The sequence below is a fragment of the Homo sapiens genome, chromosome 16, assembly GCF_000001405.40.
Source record: "Homo sapiens chromosome 16, GRCh38.p14 Primary Assembly".
Taxonomy (NCBI): Eukaryota; Metazoa; Chordata; class Mammalia; order Primates; family Hominidae; genus Homo; species Homo sapiens.
Genome location: NC_000016.10, coordinates 77,263,965 through 77,287,548, shown reverse-complemented (window position 1 = coordinate 77,287,548; position 23,584 = coordinate 77,263,965). Strand labels below are relative to the sequence as shown.

Below are 23,584 nucleotides of genomic sequence, written 5' to 3'. Positions count from 1 at the left end.
CCGAGATTGCACCACTGCACTCCAGCCTGGGCTTTTTTTGAGACCCTGTCTCAAAAAGAGGAGTTTCTCTCTGTGCCTCATGGCTGAGTCAGGTGGCTTTTGGAAGAATAAAGGATACGAGCCCACGTGTTTGTTCTGACCCAAAAATGTGGCCTACAGTTTACTAAGTTGAGGATTTTCTCCCATTCCCATCCCAAGTATAGGGATGATTACATGCTTGGCAGGGTGACTACTATGAATGTCGTTTGAGTGTATTTTCTGGCTGTGAGTTTTCAGAAAACATTAGTGAGCAGTAAGGAGGCGCATGGTGACGGAAGAAGATTCCGTTCTTTGCCTCTTCTCTGAGCCCCCCACTGTGGACCAGGTACGGTACTCTGCTAGGCACTGTGAGAGTTTCCTCCCCTTATGGAGCTTCCACTTGGGTAGAAGTTTCTACCCATTGTAGTCACTTAAACTAGACCCTAGAGAAGACCATTCTGCCCATGGCTGCATCCTCCTGTCATCCAGTGTCACCAAACAGCTTTGTTGTCCCCCAGATCCCTGCCCATACTGAGTGCCAGTCTAGGGGCAGTCATTGTATATCATCATCAGTGTGTGATGCCTTATCTGGGTATCTTGGTTGGATCTCCACCTTGGGGAAGCCATCCTTATGGTTGCACTGTACATATTATACATAAAATTCTCTTCAGAAAAGAGAGAAGGCCCTAAAGCAGTCATACCACCCAGAGACTTGTGTCACACTGCATTGAAACTGGGTGTTTACGTGTCTGGAAGCTACCTGGGCTGCAGACTAGTCATATTAAGTTAAGGATGAGCAGGCACTCAATACTAATAAGCTGCTCCTCATGGAATCCCACATCTTCAGATGGGGGCAGGCAGCATTGTACAGTGGAAGGAGCAAGGACCCTAAAATCATAAAAATAGAGTTGAATCCACACTGACTTGACACTCAGTAGCTATGGAGCTAGCTATGGAGCTTTGAGCAAGTTTTGAACTTTCTGAGCATTCATAAAACTGGGAAATAATGCTTACTTCGAAAGACTGTTTTGAGTATTAAAGAAGGTAATTCCATTTTTCACACATGTCTTTAGTGCTTACTGTGAACCAGAAACTGTTCTGGGGTCTGATTACAAAATAAACAGGCACGGCTCCCACCTTCTGACAAGCTTGCTTCAAAATGGAAACGGACAACAAATCAACCAATTAGCACACAGTGTCAGAAAGTAAAGTAGCAGGGGTGAAGGGGTGAGGAAATAGGAAAACACCTTCAGATTATAATGATCAGGCACGACCACTTGATTATTTAGCACTTAAACAGAGACCTCAAGGAAGGTGAACCACATATGGCTCTAGGAGAGTGTTCCTGGCAGAGAGACCCCAAAGTCCCCGAGGCAGGAATATACTAATCTAATTGAGGAATGGCACGATGCTTGGAGTACAAGAAACAAGGTGAAGAGTGGTTAAGCAATACATGAAAAGTGGGACTGGAGGCCTTGTCAGTCAGTGTAAGGATTTCAGATTTAACGCTGAGTACGATGGAAGCCAATGGAGAACTTTGAGCAGAAGAGAAGAGCAATAGGATCTAGCTTTAGGAAGATTACTGGCAGTTAAGGTGAAAGGAGTGCAGGTTGTCTCGAGTAGAACAAGGACTTGTCAACTCTGCCAGGAAGCGGTTGGAGGAGGTTCCACTAGAGCAGTGGCAGTACTGAAGAGGTTGGATGCTGGGTGCATTTTAAAGATTGAGCCAAGAGTATCTGCTGATTGCATGGAGAACGTGAAGCAAAGAAATGATTCCAAGGTCATCTTCAATAGTGTAAATGAAATACCTGACTCACAGTAGAAGCTCAAACAACCAGCTGTTAGTAATTATAATCAAAAAAAGCACTTATACTGACAGAATAGTAATACATCTCACTTCTCCTGCCTGACTTACTTACATGAAGGGGATGTATAAAAAGGAATTTTAGGCAGAAAAATCAAGGCTTGAAGAAGGAACTCTAAGCATTTCTGAATTATGTGTAGTGTATACTCTAAATATTTTTAAAGTCAAAACTGTGCCTTAAAAATACAGTAAAATGGCCGGGGGTGTGCCTCACACCTGTAATTCCAGCACTTTGGGAGGCTGAGGCAGACGGATCACCCGAGGTCAGGAGTTCGAGACCAGCGTGACCAACATGGTGAAACCCCATCTCTACTAAAAATACAAAAATTAACTGGGCGTGGTGGTGGGTGCCTGTAATCCCAGCTACCCAGGAGGCTTACGCAGGAGAACCATTTGAATACATGAGGCGGAGGATGCAGTGAGCCGAGATTATACCATTGCACTCCAGCCTGGGCAACAAGAGCAAAATTCCATCTCAAACAAAACAGTGAAATGACTGGGCCCTTGCTCCTACAACATGCACTTATGTTTACATACCCATTCACTTGCATTTCCTATCTCCTGAGGCCCATCTGAGTAAGAATTCTTGATGTACAGTGAAATAATCACATCTGTCCTGCTCATTGAACAACTAAAGAAATTAGAAAGGACTGGTGTTGACTTAAATTTATTTACTTGCAAACTGGTTGAGATTGACTTAAACCTACACAGACTGTTGGAGACCCGGCTTTTTCAGTTAATCTCAACCCATTTGCAGGCAAATAAGGTGGCTTGACTCCCAATACATCAGGCTTCTTGCTCCTGAAATTATAGTTCGTGGACCAGCAGCACACCCTCCCTTAATGCTCCCCTCTGACAGCCCTTCTCAATCAGAACCAGCGGTACTAGTGGTACAACAATATCCTTAGGGGATCCCTAAAGCACCATTTTAGGGTATTTCCCTGGACACTGAATTCCATGGTAGCTCCCAGGCTACATAGGGAGGATCAGACATTGATCTTGGATTAGATGTGACATTTTTTAAAAACAAATCATTTAATTTTGCTAATGGTCAGAGTCTTTTCTTGGCATCTAAATCCTGCCCCTACCTCACCCCCCTACCAAAGTCCCAATGTTTAATGGGAAAAACCACATAGAGGCACAAGGGAGGTGGGCCCAAGACCTTTGTTCTGTAGGCCCTCACCTTAAGAAAAAGGTGCTATGTTAATATTAATAAATCATAATATGCAAATCACCAAAGGCTGGGCCCGGTGGATCACACCTGTAATCCCAGTACTTTGGGAGGCCGAAGCAGGCAGATCACTTGAGCTCAGGAATTTGAGACCAGCCTGGCCAGCATGGTGGAAAACCCCGTCTCTACTAAAAATACAAAAATTAGCTGGGCTTGGTGGCACTTGCCTATAGTCCCTGCTACTTGGGAAGCTTAGGCAGGAGAATCGTTTGAACCTGGGCAGCAGAGATTGCAGTGAGCGGAGATCACACCACACCACTGCACTCCAGCCTAGGTAACAGAGTGAGACTCCATCTCAAAAAAAAAAAAAAAGAAAAAGGATAGACACCCTAGCCAACATGCTAAATATATTTTCTTATTTTAGAGGATCCATCCTGCGTAGATTTCTTCAACTGGTGTCACCTAGTTCCTCAGCATGGTGTCTGCAACCACAAGTTTTACGGAAAACAATGCTGCAAGTCATGCACAAGGAAGATCTGATCTTGGTGTCCTCCCCAGCACCTTAGGGCCAGGGGCTTACCTTTCAACCTCTAGAGAGACCAGCTGCCTTTGAGACCAGGAGCTGAGCACCGAGAACCATCTGTGAGCTGCCGCTGTGATGAAGGAGCCTGCTCTGAGGAACAGACAGGTTGCCAGTAGGCTTCTAGCTCAATTCCCTGAAGCACGTGGTACTCTGAAGCACTTGAAAATGGGAAGCGATGACAAATCTGACTTTAAAAAAAATCTTTGATTTGCACTGTTATATGCAAGAAGTGGTGAATCACACTGAGATACGTCGATTTGGGGAGAGACCCCCTTTTGAACTTCAAAGGGTTCAAGGGCAAAGACATCTGTTTTAAAAAGGTCCTTTATGACTTCAGGTCAAAGACTGAGACTCAGAACTTTCAAATCTGGATGGAATACCTTGCCTAACTGTTGCGTGGAGTTCACAGTTCGACTAACCCTGTGAACACCCAAGCCAGGAGTTCTATGAGAAGCCAAATGGTGCTCGCAATTGTGCTTGCTGCTGGACTGGCAAGCTTCATGTTATGTTTATTTGGTGTGCGTGTGTCTTTATTATTTTGTGTAAACTATATTCTGCTTATAGAGAGTCTCTGAGACTAAAATTGACAACTTGAAAAGTATTCCAAGGAATATTATGAAAATAGGGCAACATGGACTGTTTAAGATCTCCATGTAATTGAAATTCATGCAAGGAAACAACTCATAGAAAAGATAAATATGGATGCCCTTCACATGTTATCAACCTCGTAACTTTTGGTGCTTGCTGAATCAGTCCATGAAAAGCTACAGCCCGCTCTTTGGGAATGCTACATACCCATTTCTGGTATTTAAAAAATATCTAGGAGGAGCTAAATGACAAAACACAGCAGTGTTTTGAGGGAGAAAGGACCATCATTTATAATGCTCTGTACATACTACCAGAGCTGCTTGGAAAATTAAAGGCCACTTGTGGCTTTTTCCTACCAACTGATACGTTTAAATTTGCCCTAGGATTGAGCTAACAGCAAAAAAAAAAAAAAAAAAAAGAGAGAAAGAAAGGAGTAAACAGTGGTAATAAAAAAATCCATCTGTCTTCTTGCTATGTTAATATTAATAAATCATAATATGACAAGACCCTCACTGAATAAGAGTATTTTCAGTCATCAGAAGCCAGCTGTTGGTAGGCATTAATGAGTTTAAAATTGTTCTCAATTGAAAAAACATCACACTATTTTGCCAAAACCAAAGTAATTATAATACTGTGTCCTCCTGTAATTTTTTGAGAAGTGGTTATAAAGGGCATATTTACATAAATTCTACTTTATTCCTCAACTTCTTTGATGAATGTAACCCAATTTTACTTCTTTAAAAAGTCTCAATTCAAGCTGGATTAGCCAGCTCAGCATAATCAACTAGACAGTGGTTTGTTAAATTTAGCAGCATACTTCGTTCCCATTCTAATTAAAGTCATGAGTTCTTGAATCCCAGAGAAATAATGCTTAGGAACTTCTCTCAATCTGCTTGGCTTGGCCTAGAGAAGTGGCCATTTTATCAACAGGAAAAAAAAAAATTTTCTCTACTACAACCCCGTTGCCTTCTGAAAAACAGCAAGTTATTTCTTTATATAATTATCATTTTATTATTTTATGGAAAATTAATTTATTAATTAATAGCCTATTATGTGTTCTCACTTGCTTCTCTAAGTAATATTTTGAGATAAAATGTTGAATAAAACCATGGATTATAGAGAAAAGTCAAAATATATGTGTAATATTTAATTATTTTATAAGTTTTATAATAAAGTATTCCATTTCTTTATCTTTGACAGCTTGTTAAGTTCTTGAATAAGTTAGTGAAAAGTCCATAATTTCAAAGGTAATTTAACTGTATAAATGTCACTCAGGACTCTTAGAGAATGGTTGGGTGCAGCGGTTCACCTCGGTAATCCCAGCACTTCGGGAGGCCAAGGCAGACGGATCACCTGAGTCCAGGAGTTCGAAACCAGCCTGGCCAACATGGCAAAACCCTGTCTCTATTGAAAATACAAAAAAAGTAGCCAGCTGTGGTGGCACACAGCTGTAGTCCTAGCTACTTGGGAGGCTGAGGCTGCAGTGAGAGGAGATTGGGCCACACCACTCCCCGCTGGGTGACAGACAGAGACTCTGTCTCAACAACAACAAATCTACAGAGTAACTTCATTGAGAAGAGGAAAGATAGATAAGCTATTCAACAACTAGTGATTTTTCTTGTTTGCCTTTGAAGAAATCAAAGTATGAAATGCTAGGATGAAACAGATGACACATTTACCCTCTTGAGGACACACTATTTTGTTCCCCTGTAATTGTCATGAGAACATTTGTGGAAATCATCTAAGATAAAACTACCATAAATGTATTTTTACATTTAAAAGTCATTCTAGTAAAATATTTTTGTAAAAATAAAGAGGGGGAAGGGAAGGATGGGCAGGAAAACATGAAAAAAATAAAAAGTAATTGTTCTTGGCTTTTTGAAATTTTGAATCATTAAACCAGTGGAGAATAAGAACTGGGCAAAGTTATGTCCAATTGATCTGAAAATACTGTATTTTTCCCTGCATCTGTGATTACATGTGTGTCTACATAAGTTCATATGCGTATCTTTATAGTTAAGAGAATTTTTATATAATTTATTGCTATTTAGCAAACAAAAAATTATGATTAAGAATGGAAAATGGAATAGATGCAGATAAAATACGTGACAGAAAAAAAGATATTTTGTTCTTTTTTTGAGACAGAGTTTCACTCTTGTTGCCCAGGCTGGAGTGCAATGATAGGATCTCAACACCCTGCAACCTCCGCCTCCCAGGTTCAAGCGATTTTCCTGCCTCAGCCTCCCAAGTAGCTGGGATTACAGGTGCCCACCACCACGCCCAGAAAAAAAAATTGTCTTTATACCTTTTGGTAATAAGCAACCACATATTAGTGTTTAATGGGAATCAGGTATTGTACTGAACTATTTATATATGTTATCTCATTTAATCCTAACAATAGCCCACTTAGGAAGATACTATTGTTCTTTGTTGGCAGGTGACAACTCGGATTCAGAGACATTACGTATTTAGCCCTAGTACACAGTCACTGAGTGATGGGGTCAGGACTCAAACCCAAATCCATTGGGGTTCTCGTGACTGTGTTGCGTTACCCTGGGATAGAGAAAGAAAAAGAAGGGCATGCAGGCCTTAGAACTCTACTTTTTGCCCCCTGAGATGCATGTGAATGGAGTTTGACAATAAGTGATTTAACAATGATAAATTACGGGCAGAGCTGGGAATTTCATATGGGGAACTGGGGTTGAGAAATAATAAATCCTTACCTAGTCTTTTCAACAAAGTATACTTAAAGACTTGTTGCATATCTAAGTCTTTATCTGTAATAATTGCTTTGCTCTGGGATGATAGTATTTCCTGGGCAATCACACCAGAGTATCTGGAGCCTGCAACTCCAAGTCCATTAAGATGGAGGGAAAGCATGAGCGAGAATTCTCTTGGCATGGGTTCTATATGCTAACGGTAGAAAGACGATACCACACCAGGAAAAAAAAAAAGTTGTCTTTCTTTATAGCTTTTGGTAATAAGCAACCACATATTAGTGTTTAATGGGAATCAGATATTGTAATAAACTATTTATATATGTTATCTCATTTAATCCTCACAATAGCCCAATACACCACAATACCTCACAATACACCAGCATGTATTATGTAAGACATGGTTTATGAAAATTTATAACACAGAACCCATTATTGCTAAGTGTGATGTGGAAAAGGTCATCTAATTATGTGCTATATGGTTTTATCTTTGAAAATGTAAAAATATGCATAAGGATTCCATGCTTTGTCTGTTTTACCTTATCTTTCCCCTAAGATCTTAATTCCTTGAATACCTCTATGGTCTCCACTGGTGCTGAGGGTCAACACCTAAGACGGTTTTCGTCAGTCACCCCTGGATCTGGGTGACTGACACCTTCTTCCTCCTGAGAGGACCACAGACTCCTGAGAGGTGATTCTCAAACTGTTGTCACTCAATTGCTATCATCATGAGTTTTCCCCATAAGCACGTATCACCTCTACCAACTTTTAAATCTATTTAAGTAAAAATATGATTTGCTGTAAAAAATATTTCAGCCAGGCACGGCGGCTCATGCCTATAATCCCAGCACTTTGGGAGGCTGAGGCAGGCCGATCACCTGAGGTCAGGAATTCAAGACCACCCTGGCCAACGTGGTGAAACCCTGTCTCTACTAAAAATACAAAAATCAGCCGGGCTTGGTGGTGGCACCTGTAGTCCCAGATACTCGGGATGTTGAGGCAGGAGAATCACTTGAACCCAGGAGGCAGAGGCTGCAGTGAGCTGAGATCGCATCATTGCACTCCAACCGCGGGGGATAGAGTGAGACTCCATCTGGAAACCATCGTTCTCAGCAAACTAACACAAGAACAGAAAACCAAACACTGCATGTTCTCACTCATAAGTGGGAGTTGCACAATGAGAACACATGGACACAGGGAGGGGAGCATCACACACCAGGGCCTGTCAGGGGGCGGGGGGTGGCTAGGGGAGGGATAACATTAGCAGAAATACCTAATGTAGGTGATGGGTAGGTGGGTGCAGCAAACAACCATGGCATGTGTATGTAACAAAACTGCATGATTTGCACGTGTACCCGAGAGCTTAAAGTATAATTTAAAAAAAAAAAGTAAAAGAAATTATTTTCTCTAAAAAAAGAAATTATTTTAAAATCAACTGTTTTATAACTCCTTTAAACATAGAATCGATAGAACATGGCATAAAGGGTAGCCGCAAAAGCCAAATATTTACATTTGTTAATTTTAATTACAAAATAAAATACAGTCACTACAAATGGTTTACAAAACTCATCTGAAAATAAAAGAATTCCTCAATGACACTAAGTGACCTGTTCATAGTTTCTCAAGAATAGTCAGCTTAATATCACTAAGTTTAGAATAAAGATGGGATGTTATGTAAGATTATCTTGAATCCCAATTCACAATTGCACAGAGAAAAAGCAAATTATGTCCACTTAATTGTGCCTTTGCTGATAGAGCTCGACATTGAGGATCATGATGTAAGTGACATTTGCTCAACCAATTTTTGTAGAAAAGGCTTCAAAAGCAATATCTACAGTGTGTTTCTCTGAATCTGCCCAGCTATTTGTTAGTTTCCACAGTGGCATAGTGCCTTACTCATCTACAACCACCATATTGTTTGAACGTCATGAAGAGATACTTGCAGAGTGTCCTAAGTGTTTCCTTATACTATTATTTTTTTCTTGAGTCAGAATCTTGCTCTGTCATTCAGGCTGGGGTGCAGTGGCACAATCTCGGTTCACTGCAACCTCTGCCTCCCAGGCTCAAGAGATTCTCCTGCCTCAGCCTCCCAAGTAGCTGGGACAACAGGCGTATACCACCATGCCCAGCTAATTTTCTATTTTTAGTAGAGACAGGGTTTCGCCATGTTGGCCAGGCTAGTCTCGAACTCCTGGCCTCAAGCTATCTGCCTGCCTTGGTCTCTCAAAGTGCTGGTATTACAGGTATGAACCACTGTGCTCGGCGCTCTTAAACTTTGTTTAATGAGGGACACAGTCAAGTGTGTAATCAGTTCATTCAATAACAAAAAGTCATTTTTGTAATTGTTGGTTGGTTTTATGAACAAATTAGGTTTAAAAATTGTTCCCAACATTATAATTGGGATTAAAATGAGACACCAATATCTAGGAAAAGGAGATCCTGCATGTCTCTTCTTCCCACCCCTGTTTCATTCAACCCCTGTTCTTCTCTTCTTCACACAGCCTTGGCCTACCCATTAAGGCCATCTCTGCCCCATACAGGTTAGGAGATCGCTTGACATTGTCTCATGTTGCACTGCAATGCCCATGCCACACAATGGAAAATGCTATTCTAGATCAAACCACGTGGTCTTCCTCAACCCTCCATTCTGATGGCAAATAGACTTTTTAAAACTGGTGTGCAGTACAAGGAGTGGTCCATTAACAGTCACAGCACTTGGGGAGATGATCTCTGAAGATGAACCAGAGACATGGGCTGTTCCTCATGGAGACAAGGCCCAGGCCCAGTTCCCCCTTTGTCTCTTCCTATCCCTTCTTTCATGTGGCTGGACTACAGGAAGGAGCGGGCAGCGCCCACTTGGCAGAAGGCCTAGCTCTACTGTTCTTCAGTGTGTCCCTCAGTTCCTGCAGACTCTCCATATCCTAGCAGCTGAGAGTCTCCTCTTCCTAGAAAGGAGGTCTTCTCTCCCCTGTCCCCATGCCTTTTGAAAGCCAAGCTGGCTGCAGAGTAAGATGCAGGACAATGGTTTCTAAGTAACTAGCTGCATCACTATCACCTAAAGTTATTTTATACAAAAACTTTCCAGGTCCCTTTCAAGAAACAGAATTCATTAAGCCTGAGGGTGGGGCCTGGGAATTTATATTTTAAAAGGCACTCAAGTTTTTCTCAAGAATAGCTAGGTTTGGAACCACCGGTCTGAGGCCAAAAAATAAAATAGGAAGTGCTTGGATGTGTTTTCTTAGACAAAGGAGTGCCTGTGGTTGCATGCCATCCCATGCAGCTGTGCAGTGGTTGGGCCAAATTTAGCTAATAATCAAGTGACCCTTTGCCTCTCTCATCTTCTGCATGTACATTTTACCTGCATGTACATTTCACCAGTAAAGTATTAGTTGGTCAAGATAAGAATTCACAGGCAGAGACCCCACGTGCTGGTGATCTTAGTTTATTCTCATTCTCAGGCAAGCCAGGAGCACCTGCACTCACTCAGGTTTGGAGGGTGGGGAGCAGAAACATTGAAAACAATTGACCATTTTTCTCAGTAAAGCACCCACATGCAAGAGCTAGATTACTGTGCTTTAAAAAAATACTTTTTTTAAAAAAAGAGTGTATAATAGAAAAGCTGAAGAAATACCCATTGGAATATGCCTTTCGCAAGCTACTCCCAAGGCTTCATGTGTGAGTGTTTACAGAGAAATGTGCAGTCAAGACAGAATGACAGCTGCTATCCTATTTCCTGCTTGGTCATTAGGTGCCAAGAGGTGAATTAATCATTTTTTAATGGATGGTGCCAACTGTCAACATCCTTATAAATTGCGAGAAATGCATTGGTTGCCTTGACTAAATGAAATGGTAACTTCAGGTTTTGTACAACAGAAAACCAAAAAAACAAAAAAAAACAAAAAAACAAAAAAAAAGTTATATAGGGAAAAGCCACTAGAATGATGTTTTTGGCCCAGCTCAAGAAGTTAGGTTCATTGTTTGTGCTTTACTTGGCCTCTGATTTCTGTTTAATGGCTAATTTTATTAATTCACAGTCTTTGTATTTTTTAAGATTGATTCCAGATATTTAAATATTAACGTGTTGTTTATGTATATATCCACATAGTCTGAAACCAATAAAGAAATAACTGTTATTGTTTTCAGCAAATTTCTTTCTTTGTTATGATGCCCATATTGTGAGGGCTTTTATTACTCACAGCTAGGCCTGCTGAGAAGATAGACATTTCACATTTTCTTAGACGTTATATTTGTTTTAGTGCTATAAGTCCCTCTGACATGCAGAGTCACCCTTTCATAGTTTGGTCTGCCTTAACTAATGTTTTTCTTGCATTTTTGCTAACTAAAATGCATTTATTCTTTTGACGAGTATGTATTGAGTGTCAACTGCAATGTGAGCTCCAAGCACAGAAAAATATCTTGTTCCTGACCCAAATGGACTTTACTTAAAAATACAGAAGGCAATGTTACAAGGTCATATAGTCCTAATATTAAAAACAAAAACAAAAACAAAAAGAACCTCACTTTTACATTGATCCGGTTAGCATTTGAAAATGCTTGTTTCAGTCTGTAATTGTGAATATCATATATGCACAGCAGGATCATGCAAAAGTGTTTTTAACCTCCTCCACAATAATAGTATCACAAAATTATGGCATTAAGCAGAAAGGAGTCCACTTGAAAACTGATAGAAATGAAGAACTGGAAGAGAATTTAGAGCTCATTTATCTCCCCCATTTCACAGGTATAGAAACTGACACCCAAATATCTTACAGCCTTTCCTAAGATTACTCAGTGATTTAAAAGTTAGGTCAATTAAGGGACAATTTTTAGGTAAGCATACTTTTTGCTGTATTATAAAAATATTGATTTTTGCCTGACAGGTAGATATTTTTGTTGAGCTTAAGGACAAGTTTGATGAGTAGTGAGTTTAAAATAAAAGCCTAGTAAGAAACATTTCTTAATTCATATATGTGATATTATCTGAAGTTCCCTTTCCCCCCAAAAAAATGCTCTGCTACCATAAAAAACACAAGAATATTGTCATCCTCCCTCTGTGTAGGGAAAAGGTGACATTATGAAATCTATCATCCTCCCTCTGTGTAGGGAAAAGGTGACATTATGAAATCTATCATCCTCCCTCTGTGTAGGGAAAAGGTGACATTATGAAATTATCCATTTTTAAAACTATCTGACCCATTCCCTTTCCAAAAGTCAAATATCTTCAGGGAACTGAACTATTGCTTACTCTGCTTTGAACCATGAATTAAGAATAACGTTGAATGCTGCGAACTTTATACTAAAACCACTAGACACTCAATGGGTGAATTTTATGGTATGTAAGTTATATCTCAATAAAACTGTTTAAATAAAAAGAATATGCTTGCAATGAGGACTATCTATTCTCACACCTATTGTTGTTGTGATGTCAATGACAGGGTCCTCAAAGGAGCAAGCCTGTTTCTGTGGACAAGAGTTCAAGATTCTGAACTCAGGTTACATAAAACAGTCGCAGTGATGGGGCTCTGCCATTGGCATTACACGTGACTTGTTCAACCTACTTTTAAGAGTTTGGCAGGAGCAGCAACATCTGTTTTTGCAGTCATCTCTATCCCAAGAGGGAAAAATATCCATGATAAGGCTAGGGTTGGAGAGGGCAGAAGGTAGGAAAAACTAATTTGGTATTATCCCCTTCTTTCTATCCTACTGGTTAATAGGAAAAAATACTTAGAGGAAAGAATTGTGGACACACTGTTCTTTCATGTCTTGTGGATTTTATGAAATATTTTTTAAAATCTGCTTTAAGAATCATCTGATGAAGTTTTAATGTTTTGCTTATTTTCAGAAAATTTTCCTAGGACTTGTCTGTTAAACCAAGAATAACAATGTATTAAGATGTTAGAGTTCCCAAAGACTAGCAACAGAAGTAGGCAGAACAGAAAGAAGCAATGATGATATAATGATAACAACTGACATCAATGCTCATCTGCTATGAGCAAGGGATATACTTTGTATTTTCCACATATTAATCTGAATTTTTGTAATTATCTGCATCTTAAGACATGAAATAATTACTGACTCTCCTAATTATGCACGTGAACCAAGACTCACAGACATTTCATACAATGGCACGGGATTCGTAAAGAGCCTATTATGTTGACTAAGAGCAAGGCATTTGCATCCCTACGAACCTCAAGTTCATATCCTGAGTTCCCCCAAAGAATCCATCTGGTCAACAGCAATGCCATTTCATTTATTTGAGCCTTAATTTCTTCATTTAGGAATAGGCATTTAATCATTTATTCAATGAAAGTTAGCGCCATTTATACTGGATTCTACAAAGTTTAATAGATATACACAAGTTTTCTGCCCTCACTGGGCTCATGACTCACAGATGTGGACCATCACTAACCAAGGAATCCTACAAAATTACAACCAAGAGAAGCCTAAGCAGAAAAGATGTATGATTGCAGCAGAAGCTACATGGTGCTCTCAACGTATCTGCTTGGTTCACTTAGCCATTTTCTTGCATCAGCCTGTGGTGTAATTCTACTCCCAAAGCTAGCACCTGCATTTCTTCTTCCATGGGCAGGCTCACACTGCCAGCACTCACTTTGGCTGCAAGCACAGAAAACCACAAGTGCGTGGAAATTTACTCTCCCATCCAGCTGGGTGCAGGCTTGCAACCAATGTGTCATTCATTCGTTGGCAATTGACCTAGTCAGGAGTAACTTTAGTAACCAGAATTGTTTTGAATTTTTTATAAGGTTTTGTTTTCTAAAGGGATGTAGCTGGTACCTAGTAATACTCAACAAATGGTAACTATAAAATGACAAGAGAAAGGAAGACAGTTACTGAAGAAGGCAACAGATGCTCTAGCAACAACAAAGGATATTTTGAGGGTAAAAGAAGGGTTTATGCACAGGGGTAGAGAAGACTTCTTAACATTGGTAAGAATAGTATTTTTGATATGACCCCCAAAGCACAGGCAACAAAAGCAAAAATAGACATGGGGGGTTGTATCCAACTTAAGAGCTTCTTCACAAATGAAATAGTCAATAGAATAAAAAAGTCAACCTAAAGAATGACAGAAAATATCTGTGAATCATCTATCTGCTAAGGGGTTAATATCCAAAATATATAAGGAACTCATATAACTCAATAGAAAAAAAAGAAATCAACACTTATAATTTAATTTTAAAATGTGCACAGGACCTGAATAGACATTTCTCAAAAGAAGATATACAAATGGCTAACAGGTATGTAAAAATGTGATCAACATCACCAATTATCAGGGAAACACAAACCCACAATGAGGGTTTGATACCTCATACCTATTAGAATGGCTGTGAAAAAGACAAAACAGTAAGTGTTAGGATATGGAGAAAAGGAATCCTTGTACACTATTGATTAAAAGGTAAAGTAATACAACCATCATAGAAAACGATATACAGGTTCTTCAAAAAACTAAAAATAGAATTAAATATTTGATCCAGCAATCCCACTTCTGTGCATATATCCAAAGGAAATGGAATCAGTATGTTGAAGAGATATCTGCATTCCAGTATTCATTGCAGCATTATTCACAAAGCAAAGTTATAGAAGCAAACTAAGTGGCCATTGATGGATGCATGGATAAAGAAAATGTGTTTATATATACCATGGAATATTCTTTACTCCTAAAGAAATCGTGCTATTTGTGACAGCATGGATGAACCTAGAAGACATTGTGCTAAGTAAAATAAGCCAGATAGAGAAAGGCAAATACTGCATGCTCTCACTTATGTATAAAATCTAAAGTACTCGGATACATAGAAGCAAAGAGTAAAATGGTTGGGGTGAGGGACAAGGGGAAATTGGGAGATGTTAGTCGAAGTATCCAAAGTTTCAGTTATAAGATGAAGTTATAAGTTCCGGAGATCTAGCATACAACATGGTGATCAAGTCTACAGTTTATGTTATAGACTTGAAATTTGCTAAGAGGGCAGATCTTAAATATTTTCACCACATAAAAGAAGAAAAGGAAAAAAAGAAAGGGAAGGAGGGAGGGAAAAAGGTAGGAAAGAAGAAAAGAAAAAGGGAAGAGAGAGGTAACTAGATGGGTGATGGATATGTTATTAGCTTAATTGTGCTGATCATTTCACAGTGTATACATACATCAAGAAGTCAAGTCATACATGTTAAATATATACAATTCCTATTTGTCAATGATACCTCAATAAAGCTGAGAAAGAAAGAATTTTATGGTTTTGAAGTTTTGCAGGAAATAACGATAAGCAGGTTGATTCGTGGATGAGATTTTGTGAGGCCTTGGATCATCGAACCTCAGCTGCCAACCTCTTGGCACAGGTGCATGGCTGAGGTCCTCAAAGGACTGAGAGCTGGCAGCCTGAGGAGTGGTCAGCTGCCAACCCTTTCCTCTCTGCCGAGTGGGAAGAAGTTGGTTCCTGTGCAACCATTAATTAAATCCTGAATGGGTGGGCACTTTTAACGTCTTTTCCAGTGTCACGGTCTTGCTAGCAGAGTTCATAACTGAACTGCAGCCAACCTCAGTCAGGGAACAGGAAACAAAATGTGGCTAGGGCCAAAGTACTTGTTCTCCATCCAAATGTAGTCACCCAGGTAGAGGTCTCAGTTGGAGGTCAGCCTGTAATTCTCAATGGATCCATTGTTTCCACCCATCTCCCCTCTGCAATGTCCGGAAGACATGAAATAGGATTTGGGGCAAGATTAATATGCTGCTTTACTATATTGTCTCTCTGGAAGGCACACTTTGGGTATTGTTTGCTAGCACAAAGAGTCTTTCAGAGTCGCCTTGTAAAGGATTGCTTTTTGGAAGATTATATTTGAGAGTTAGGTGTCTCAGTATCAACAGGATAAAGTGGCAGGGAGATTTAGCAGTGATCTAGATAATCTTATCAACCCAGATAATTCAGACTTTGGTTTTACTGCCTTCAAATGCAGTAGCCAAATAATCACCAGCTAGCTTAATTCCTTTCCACACAAAAAAAGAGGGCTGACACTTACTAAGCCCCAATTATGGGCCCAGATACTCTCCTAGGCACTTTATCTGTACTCTTTCCTTTAATTCTCATATCAAATCCCTTATTATAATTTCCTCCCTTTTAAGTAGGAGGAAAATGAAGTTCAGTAAAGTTAAATAATTCACTTAAAATCACACAGAAAATAAATGATGTAACTAGGTTTAGAATTTAGTTTTTCAGGCTAAAGTAAAGGTCTTTCTACTTAGAAAGGAAGTAGAAGAAGCCAACTTTTAAAATAACAAGTCAATAATATGATCTATTTAGATATTGTCTGTGGCTGCTACTTACTATTTGATGGTAGAAGCTTCCTGCAAACCTACTCCTAAACAGATAAAGTTTAGCTAAAACATGGGGGGGGGGAAGAAACCTACCTAAAAATTCTAGAAAGTAAATATAAGCAGAAATGTTGAGAAAAGTCAAGTGTGGAGAAGTAAAGTGCAAAAAGTTTTCTTTCTTCTCTCTTTTCTTTTTTCTTATTTATGGCTTTATCTTGAGGGCAGTTTATACACACAGCACAGCATCTGGATGAGAGGGGCTAGAATCCCCATAGAATTTCTGGATGAAAGAACTAAGGAAAGGAACCCCAAATATCAGGTCAGGCTCCCAGATAAAAAGGGAGGAATCCCACCTAAATGGGCGATGTAAAAAAAGGGCATTTCCTAATCCTGAATATGAATTTCGTATAAATCTCTGACCTGGAGAACACCATGCATGTGTGGGAAAACTCAAAGCATCACAGCAAAGCCTTAAAGAATTAAATTGAAATTTGAACTAATAACCACAGTAAATGAAACAGAGCTTATACTTTGGGTCTGATCTAATGAATTATCTGCTAAAATAAAATCATTGTTCCTCAGAGGAATGTAACAGAACCCAGAGGCCTTCACATTATAACAGTATGCCCAGGATCCAATCCAAAATTACTCAACAAAGAACTGACTAATATGAATCATTTCTATAGGAAAAGATGATCAACATATGCCAACCCCAAAATGACCCAGATGGTAGGAGAATCCATGTGTTTAAAGTTACATAAGAACTTTAGAGCAGATCATAGAACCATCCTTGATAATAACAAGAATGCGTTCAAAATGAAAAAAGGATAGAAATATTATCAGGGAAATATAAAATATAAAGAACCAAATGAATATTTTAGAATTGAAAAATATTAACAATAAAAATTTACTGCCTGAGTTTAATGAAATAATAGATATGACAAACGAAAGAAACAGTGAACTTGAAGATAGATTAATAGAACATATCCAATCTGTAGACAGAAAGATAAATGATTTAAAAAAACAAGGAGCTGGGATAATGGTGGGGTAAGGACCTCCAAAAATCACTCCCTCCATAAAAGCAATGAGTGGGGAGGGGCCAAGATGGACGAGTAGAAGCAGCTGCGGGCTGTGGCTCTCCCTGAGAGGAAGGAAAATGTCAAATAAATTCTCCACCTTCACCTGAGGTATCCAGGTTCTGGCATTGGGACTGAATAGGCAGTTGGTACCACCCACAGACAGTGAGGAAAAGTAAGGTGGGGTGACAGCCCACCTGGGGGTGGCATAGGGTAAGGGGAGATCTCCCTCCCCCAGCTAAAGGAGGCAGTGAGTGAGTGTGCTACCCCACCTGGGAAAGCACACATTTCCCATGCATCTTTGCAACTCGTTGATCAGGAGATCCCCTCCTGAGCCCATGCCACCAGGGCCTTGGGTCCCAAACACAGAGCTGTGCAGACTCTCAGTGGCTGCTCGGGCAGCCAATGAGACAGGGGAGTTGTTTTGGATACTCCAGCCCTGGGACTTCTGGTGAGGCAAGAAGGCAGCTGAAGCCAGGGAGCCAAGTGGCATCATTCAACAGGCCCTGCTCCCACAGAACCTTACCAGCTAAGATCCACTGGCTTGGAATCCCTGGCTGGCCAGTAGCAGCAGGCTGGAGACTGCCTAAGATAACCAATTTCCAGGGGGAGGGGTGGCTGCCATCTCTGCAGCTCCAGTCAACTGTTTTCCCCCACCGGTGCCAAGGAAACTGGGTGGTTTGGATGGAGAGGAATTCCCCACAGTGCAGCACAGTGGCTGTGCCAGATTTGGCCAGACTGCTACTTTAAGTGGGACCCTGATCCATCCCTCATCATCAGGAGGGGCTTCCCCACCAGAATTTCAGCAACTCCAGCCAGGGATTCATGGACAGATCTTTGATCTCCCTGGGACAGAGCCCCTATTCAGAGGAATGGCTGCAATCTTCGTGGTTCAGCCTATTTAATCTTTCCTGCCAGCTGGCTCTGGAGAGTCTGGACAGCACAGAGCACCCACTCTGCCAAGGGGCAGCAAGACTGCTTCTTTAAGTGGGTCCCTGATCTCATTTCTCCTGTCTGGGTGAGACCTCCCAACAGGGGTCTCCAGATACCTCATACAGGAACGTTCCAGCCAGCATCAGGTAGGTGCGCATATGGGACAGAGCTCCCAGAGGAAGGAGCAGGTGGCCATCTTTGCTGTTTTGTAGCCTCCACTGGTGATACCTCCAGGTGTGGGAGGGCCCCAGGTGAATAGGGTCTGGAGTGAACCCCCAGCAAACTGCAGGAGCTCTACACAAGAGGAGCCTGAATGTTAGAAGAAAAAACAAAGCAACAAAACAAAACATCAACAAAAAAAGACCTCACAAAAAAACCCATCCAAAGGCCAGCAGGCCTCACAGATTGAAGGTAGATAAGCCCACAAAGATGAGGAAAAAAATCAACACAAAAATGCTGAAAACTCAAAAAGCCAGAGTGCCTCTTCTCCTCCAAATGATCGCAACACCTCTCCAGCAAGGACACAGAACTGGGCTGAGACTGGGGTGGATTAATTGACAGAAGCAGGCTTCAGAAGGTGGGTAATAGTGAACTTCACTAAGCTAAAGGAGCATGTTCTAACCCAATGCAAAGAAGCTAAGAACCATGATAAAACATTACAGGAGCCGATAACCAGAATAAACAGTTTATGGAAGAAAATAAATGCCCTGATAGAGTTGAAAAAACACAACATGAGAACTTTGCAATGCAATCACAAGTGTCAAGAACCAAATAGAACAAGCAGAAGAAAGAATCTCAGAGCTTCAAGACTATTTTCCTGAAAAAAAACAGGCACACAACATTAGAGAAAAAGGAATGAAAAGGAATGAACAAAACCTTTGAGAAATGTGAGGTTATGTAAAAAGACCAAACCTACGACTGACTGGGGTACCTGAAAGAGATGGGAAAAACAGAACCAACTTAGAAAATATACCATCCAGGAGGACTTCCCCAACCTAAAAAGACAGGCCCACACTCAAATTCAGGAAATCCAGAGAACCCCAGTATAATATTCCCTGAGAAAATCAACCCCAAGACATATAATCATCAGATTCTCTAAGGTTGAAATGGAAGAAAAAATGTTAAGGGCAGCCAGAGAGAAAGGCCAGGTAACCTACAAAGGGAAGTCCATTAGACTAATAGCAGACCTCTCAGCAGAAATCCTTCAAGCCAGAAGAGATTGGGGGCCAATATTCAACATTCTTCAAAGAATTTCCAACCAAGAATTTCATATCTGGACAAACTAAGCTTCATAAGCAAAGGAGAAATAAAATACTTTTCAGGCAAGCAAATGCTGAGGGAATGCATCACCACCAGGCCTGCCTTGCAAGAGCTCCTTAAGGAAGCACTAAATATAGAAAGGAAAAACCATTACCAGCCACTACAAAAACACACTGAAGTTCACAGACCAATGACACCATGAAGCAACTACATAAACATGTCTGCAAAATAACCAGCTAGCATCATGATGACAGAATCAAATTCACACATAACAATATTAACTTTAAATATAAATGGCCTAAATGTTCCAATTAAAAGACACAGAATGGCAGGCTGGATAAAGACCCACCAGTGTGCCATATTCAAGAGACCCATCTTACGTGCAAAGACACACATAGGCTCAAAATAAAGGGATGAAGGAAAATTTACCAAGCAAATGGAAAACAGAAAACAGTAGGGTTTGCAATCCTAGTTGCTGACAAAAGACTTTAAACAAAAAAAAAATCAAAAACGACAAATACATTTATTACTAATCATAAAGAGATCAATTCAACAAGAAGTGCTAACTATCCTAAATGTAAATGCACCCAACACAGGAGAATCCAGATTCATAAAACAAGTTTTTAGAGACCTACAAATAGACTCCCACACAATAATAGTAGAAGAACACCCTACTGTCAATTTTAGACCGATCACTGAGACAAAATTAACTAAGATATTCAGGACCTAAACTCAGCTCTGGATCAAGTGGACCTGATAGGTATCTACAGAACTCTCCACCTAAAAACAACGGAATATACATTCTTCTCAGGCCACATGGCACTTACTTTAAAATTGATCACTTAATTGGAAGTAAAACACTCCTCAGCAAATGCAAAAGAACTGAAATTATAACAGTTTCTCAGACCAGCGCAATCAAATTAGAACTCAAGATTAAGAAACTCACTCAAAACCACACTACTACATGGAAATTGAACAGCCTGCTCCTGAATGACTCCTGGGTAAATAATGAAATTAAAGCAGAAATCAAGAAGTTCTTTGAAACTAATGAGAACAAAAAGACAACATACCAAAATCTCTGGGAAGCAGCTAAAACTATGTTAAGCGGGAAACTTACAGCACTAATTGCCCACATCAAAAAGCTAGAAAGATCTCAAATTAACACTTAACATCACAGCTAAAAGAACTACAGAACCAAAAGCAAACAAACCCCAAAGCTTGCAGAAGACAAGAAATAACCAAGATCAGAACAGAATGGAAGGAGATAAAGACAAAAAAAAAAACCTTCAAAAAAATAAATAAATAAACGCATCCAGGAGCCGGTTTTTTTTTTTTTTTTTAAAAATTAATAAAATAGATAGACCACAAGCTGACTAATAACAAGAAAAGAGAAAAGAGTTAAATAGACACAATCAGAAATGATAAAGAGGATATCACCACTGACCCCACAGAAATACAAACAACCATCAGAAAATACTATAAACACCTCTATGCAAATAAACTAGAAAATCTAAAATGAACTGATAAATTCCTGGATACATACACCCTCCCAAGACTGAACCAGGAAGAAGTTGAATCCCTGAATAGACCAATAACGAGTTCTGAAATTAAGACAGTAATAAATAGTCTACTAAGCAAAAAAAAGCCTAGGACCAACAGATTTACAACTGAATTCTACCAGAGGTACAAAGAGGAGCTGGTAGCATTTCTTCTGAAACTATTCAAACAATTGAAAAGAAGGGACTCCTCCCTAATTCACTTTATGAGGCTGGCATCATCCTGATACTAAAACAGGGCAGAGATAAAACAACAAAAAAAGAGAACTTCAGGCCAATATCCCTCATGAACATTGATGTAAAAATCCTCAATAAAATACTGGCAAACCAAATCCAGTAGCACATCAAAAAGCTTATCCACCGTAATCAAGTCAGCTTAATCCCTGGGATGCAAGGTTGGTTCAACACATGCAAATCAATAAATGTAATTCATCACATAAACAGAACTAAAGACAAAAACCACGATTAACTCAATAGATGCACAAAAGGGCTTTGATAAAATTCAACCTCCCTTAATGTTAAAAACTCTCAAACTAGGTATTGAAGGAATATAACTCAAAATAATAAGAGCCACTTACGATAAACCCACAGCCAATATCATACTGAATGGGCAAAGGCTGGAAACATTCCCTTTGAAAACCAACACGCAACAAGAATGCCCTCTCTCACCAATCCTACTCAAAACAGTATTAGAAATTCTGGCCATGAGACAAGAGAAAGAAATAAGGGGTATTAAAATAGGAATAGAGAAAGTCAAATTGTCTTTGTTTGCAGATGACATGATCCTTTATGTAGAAAACCTTATCGTCTCAGCCCAAAAGCTTAAGCTGATAAGCAACTTCATCAAATCTAAGGATACAAAATCAGTGTCCAAAAATCACAAGCATTCCTATATACCAACAACAGACAAGCAGTGAGCCAAATCATGAATGAACTCCCACTCACAATTGCTACAAAGAGAATAAAATACACAGGATTACAGCTAACAAGAGAAGTAAAGGACCGCTTCAAGGAGAACTATTGCTGAAGGAAATCAGCGAGGACACAAACAAATAGAAAAACATTCCATGCTCATGGATAGGAAGAATCAGTATTGTGAAAATGGCCACAATGCCCAAAGTAATTTATAGATGCAATGCTATTTCCATTCAAACTACCATTGATATTCTTCACAGAATTAGAAAAAAACTATTTCAAAATTCATATGGGACCAAAATAGACCCTGTGTAACCAAGACAATCATAAGTAAAAAGAGCAAAGCTGGAGGCGTCATGCTACCCAACTTCAAACCATACTGTAAGGCTATAGTAACCAAAACAACGTGGTACTGGTACAAAAACAGACACATAGACAAATGAAACAGATTAGAGAACTCAGAAATAAGACTGCACATCTACAACCATCTGATCTTCAACAAACCTGACAAAAGCAAGCAATGAGGAAAATATTCCCTATTTAATAAATATTTAATAACTGGCTAGCCATATCCAGAAAATTGAAAGTGGACCCCTTCCTTACACCTTATACAAAAATTAACTCAAGATGGATTAAGGAATTAAATGTAAAACCCAAAACTATAAAAATCCTAGAAAAAATCCAGGCAATAAATAGACACAGGACATAGGCACGGGCAAAGATTTCATGAGAAAAATGCCAAAAGCAATTGCAACAAAAGCAAAAATTGACAAATAGGATCCAATTAAAGAGCTACTGCACAGCAAAAGAAACTATCATCAGAGTGAACAGATGACCTACAGAATGGGAGAAAATTTTTGCAATCTATCCATCTGACAAAGGTCTAATATCCAGAATCTACAAGAAACTTGAATTTACAAGAAAACAACCCCATTAAAAACTAGCCAAAGGACATGAACAGACACTTCTCAAAAGAAGTCATTTACACAGCCAACAAACACATGAAAAAAGCTCAACATCACTGACTATTAAAGAAACACAAATCAAAACCACAATGCGATAACATCTCACACAGTCAGAATGGCAATTATTTAAAAATCAAGGAACAACAGATGCTGGCATGGCTGTGAAGAAATAGGAATGCTTTTACACTGTTGGTGGGAACATAAATTAATTCAGTCATTGTGAAAGACTGTGGCAATTCCTCAAAGGTCTAGAATCAGAAATGCCATTTGACCCAGCAATCCCATTACTGGGTATATACCCAAAGGAATAAAAATCATTCTATTATAAACATACATGCATGCATATGTTCACTGCAGCACTATTCACAATAGCAATGTTATGGAATTAACCCAAATGCCCATCAATGATAGACTAGATAAAGAAAATGTGGTATGTATACACCATGGAATACTATGCAGCCATAAAAAGGAATGAAATAATGTCATTTGCAGGGACATGGATGGACCTGGAAGCCATTAACCTCAGCAAACTAACACAGGAACAGAAAACCAAACACCGCATGTTCTCACTTATAAATGGGAGCTGAACGATGAGAACACATGGACACTGGGAGAGGAACAA

The 23,584-nt window shown here is 39.6% G+C and overlaps 1 protein-coding gene across 4 annotated transcripts in view; it reads left to right on the top strand.

The window, feature by feature from the left end:
* Positions 1–5,421, top strand: part of ADAMTS18 (ADAM metallopeptidase with thrombospondin type 1 motif 18) — a 152,907-nt gene extending 147,486 nt beyond the window's left edge. For all 4 annotated transcript variants that reach the window (NM_199355.4, NM_001326358.2, XM_047433672.1 and 1 more), the window contains one exon: positions 3,478–5,421. In NM_199355.4, the coding sequence (NP_955387.1) occupies positions 3,478–3,593 (116 nt within the window). In that variant the 3' untranslated portion in view covers positions 3,594–5,421. The remainder of the gene's footprint in view (positions 1–3,477) is intronic.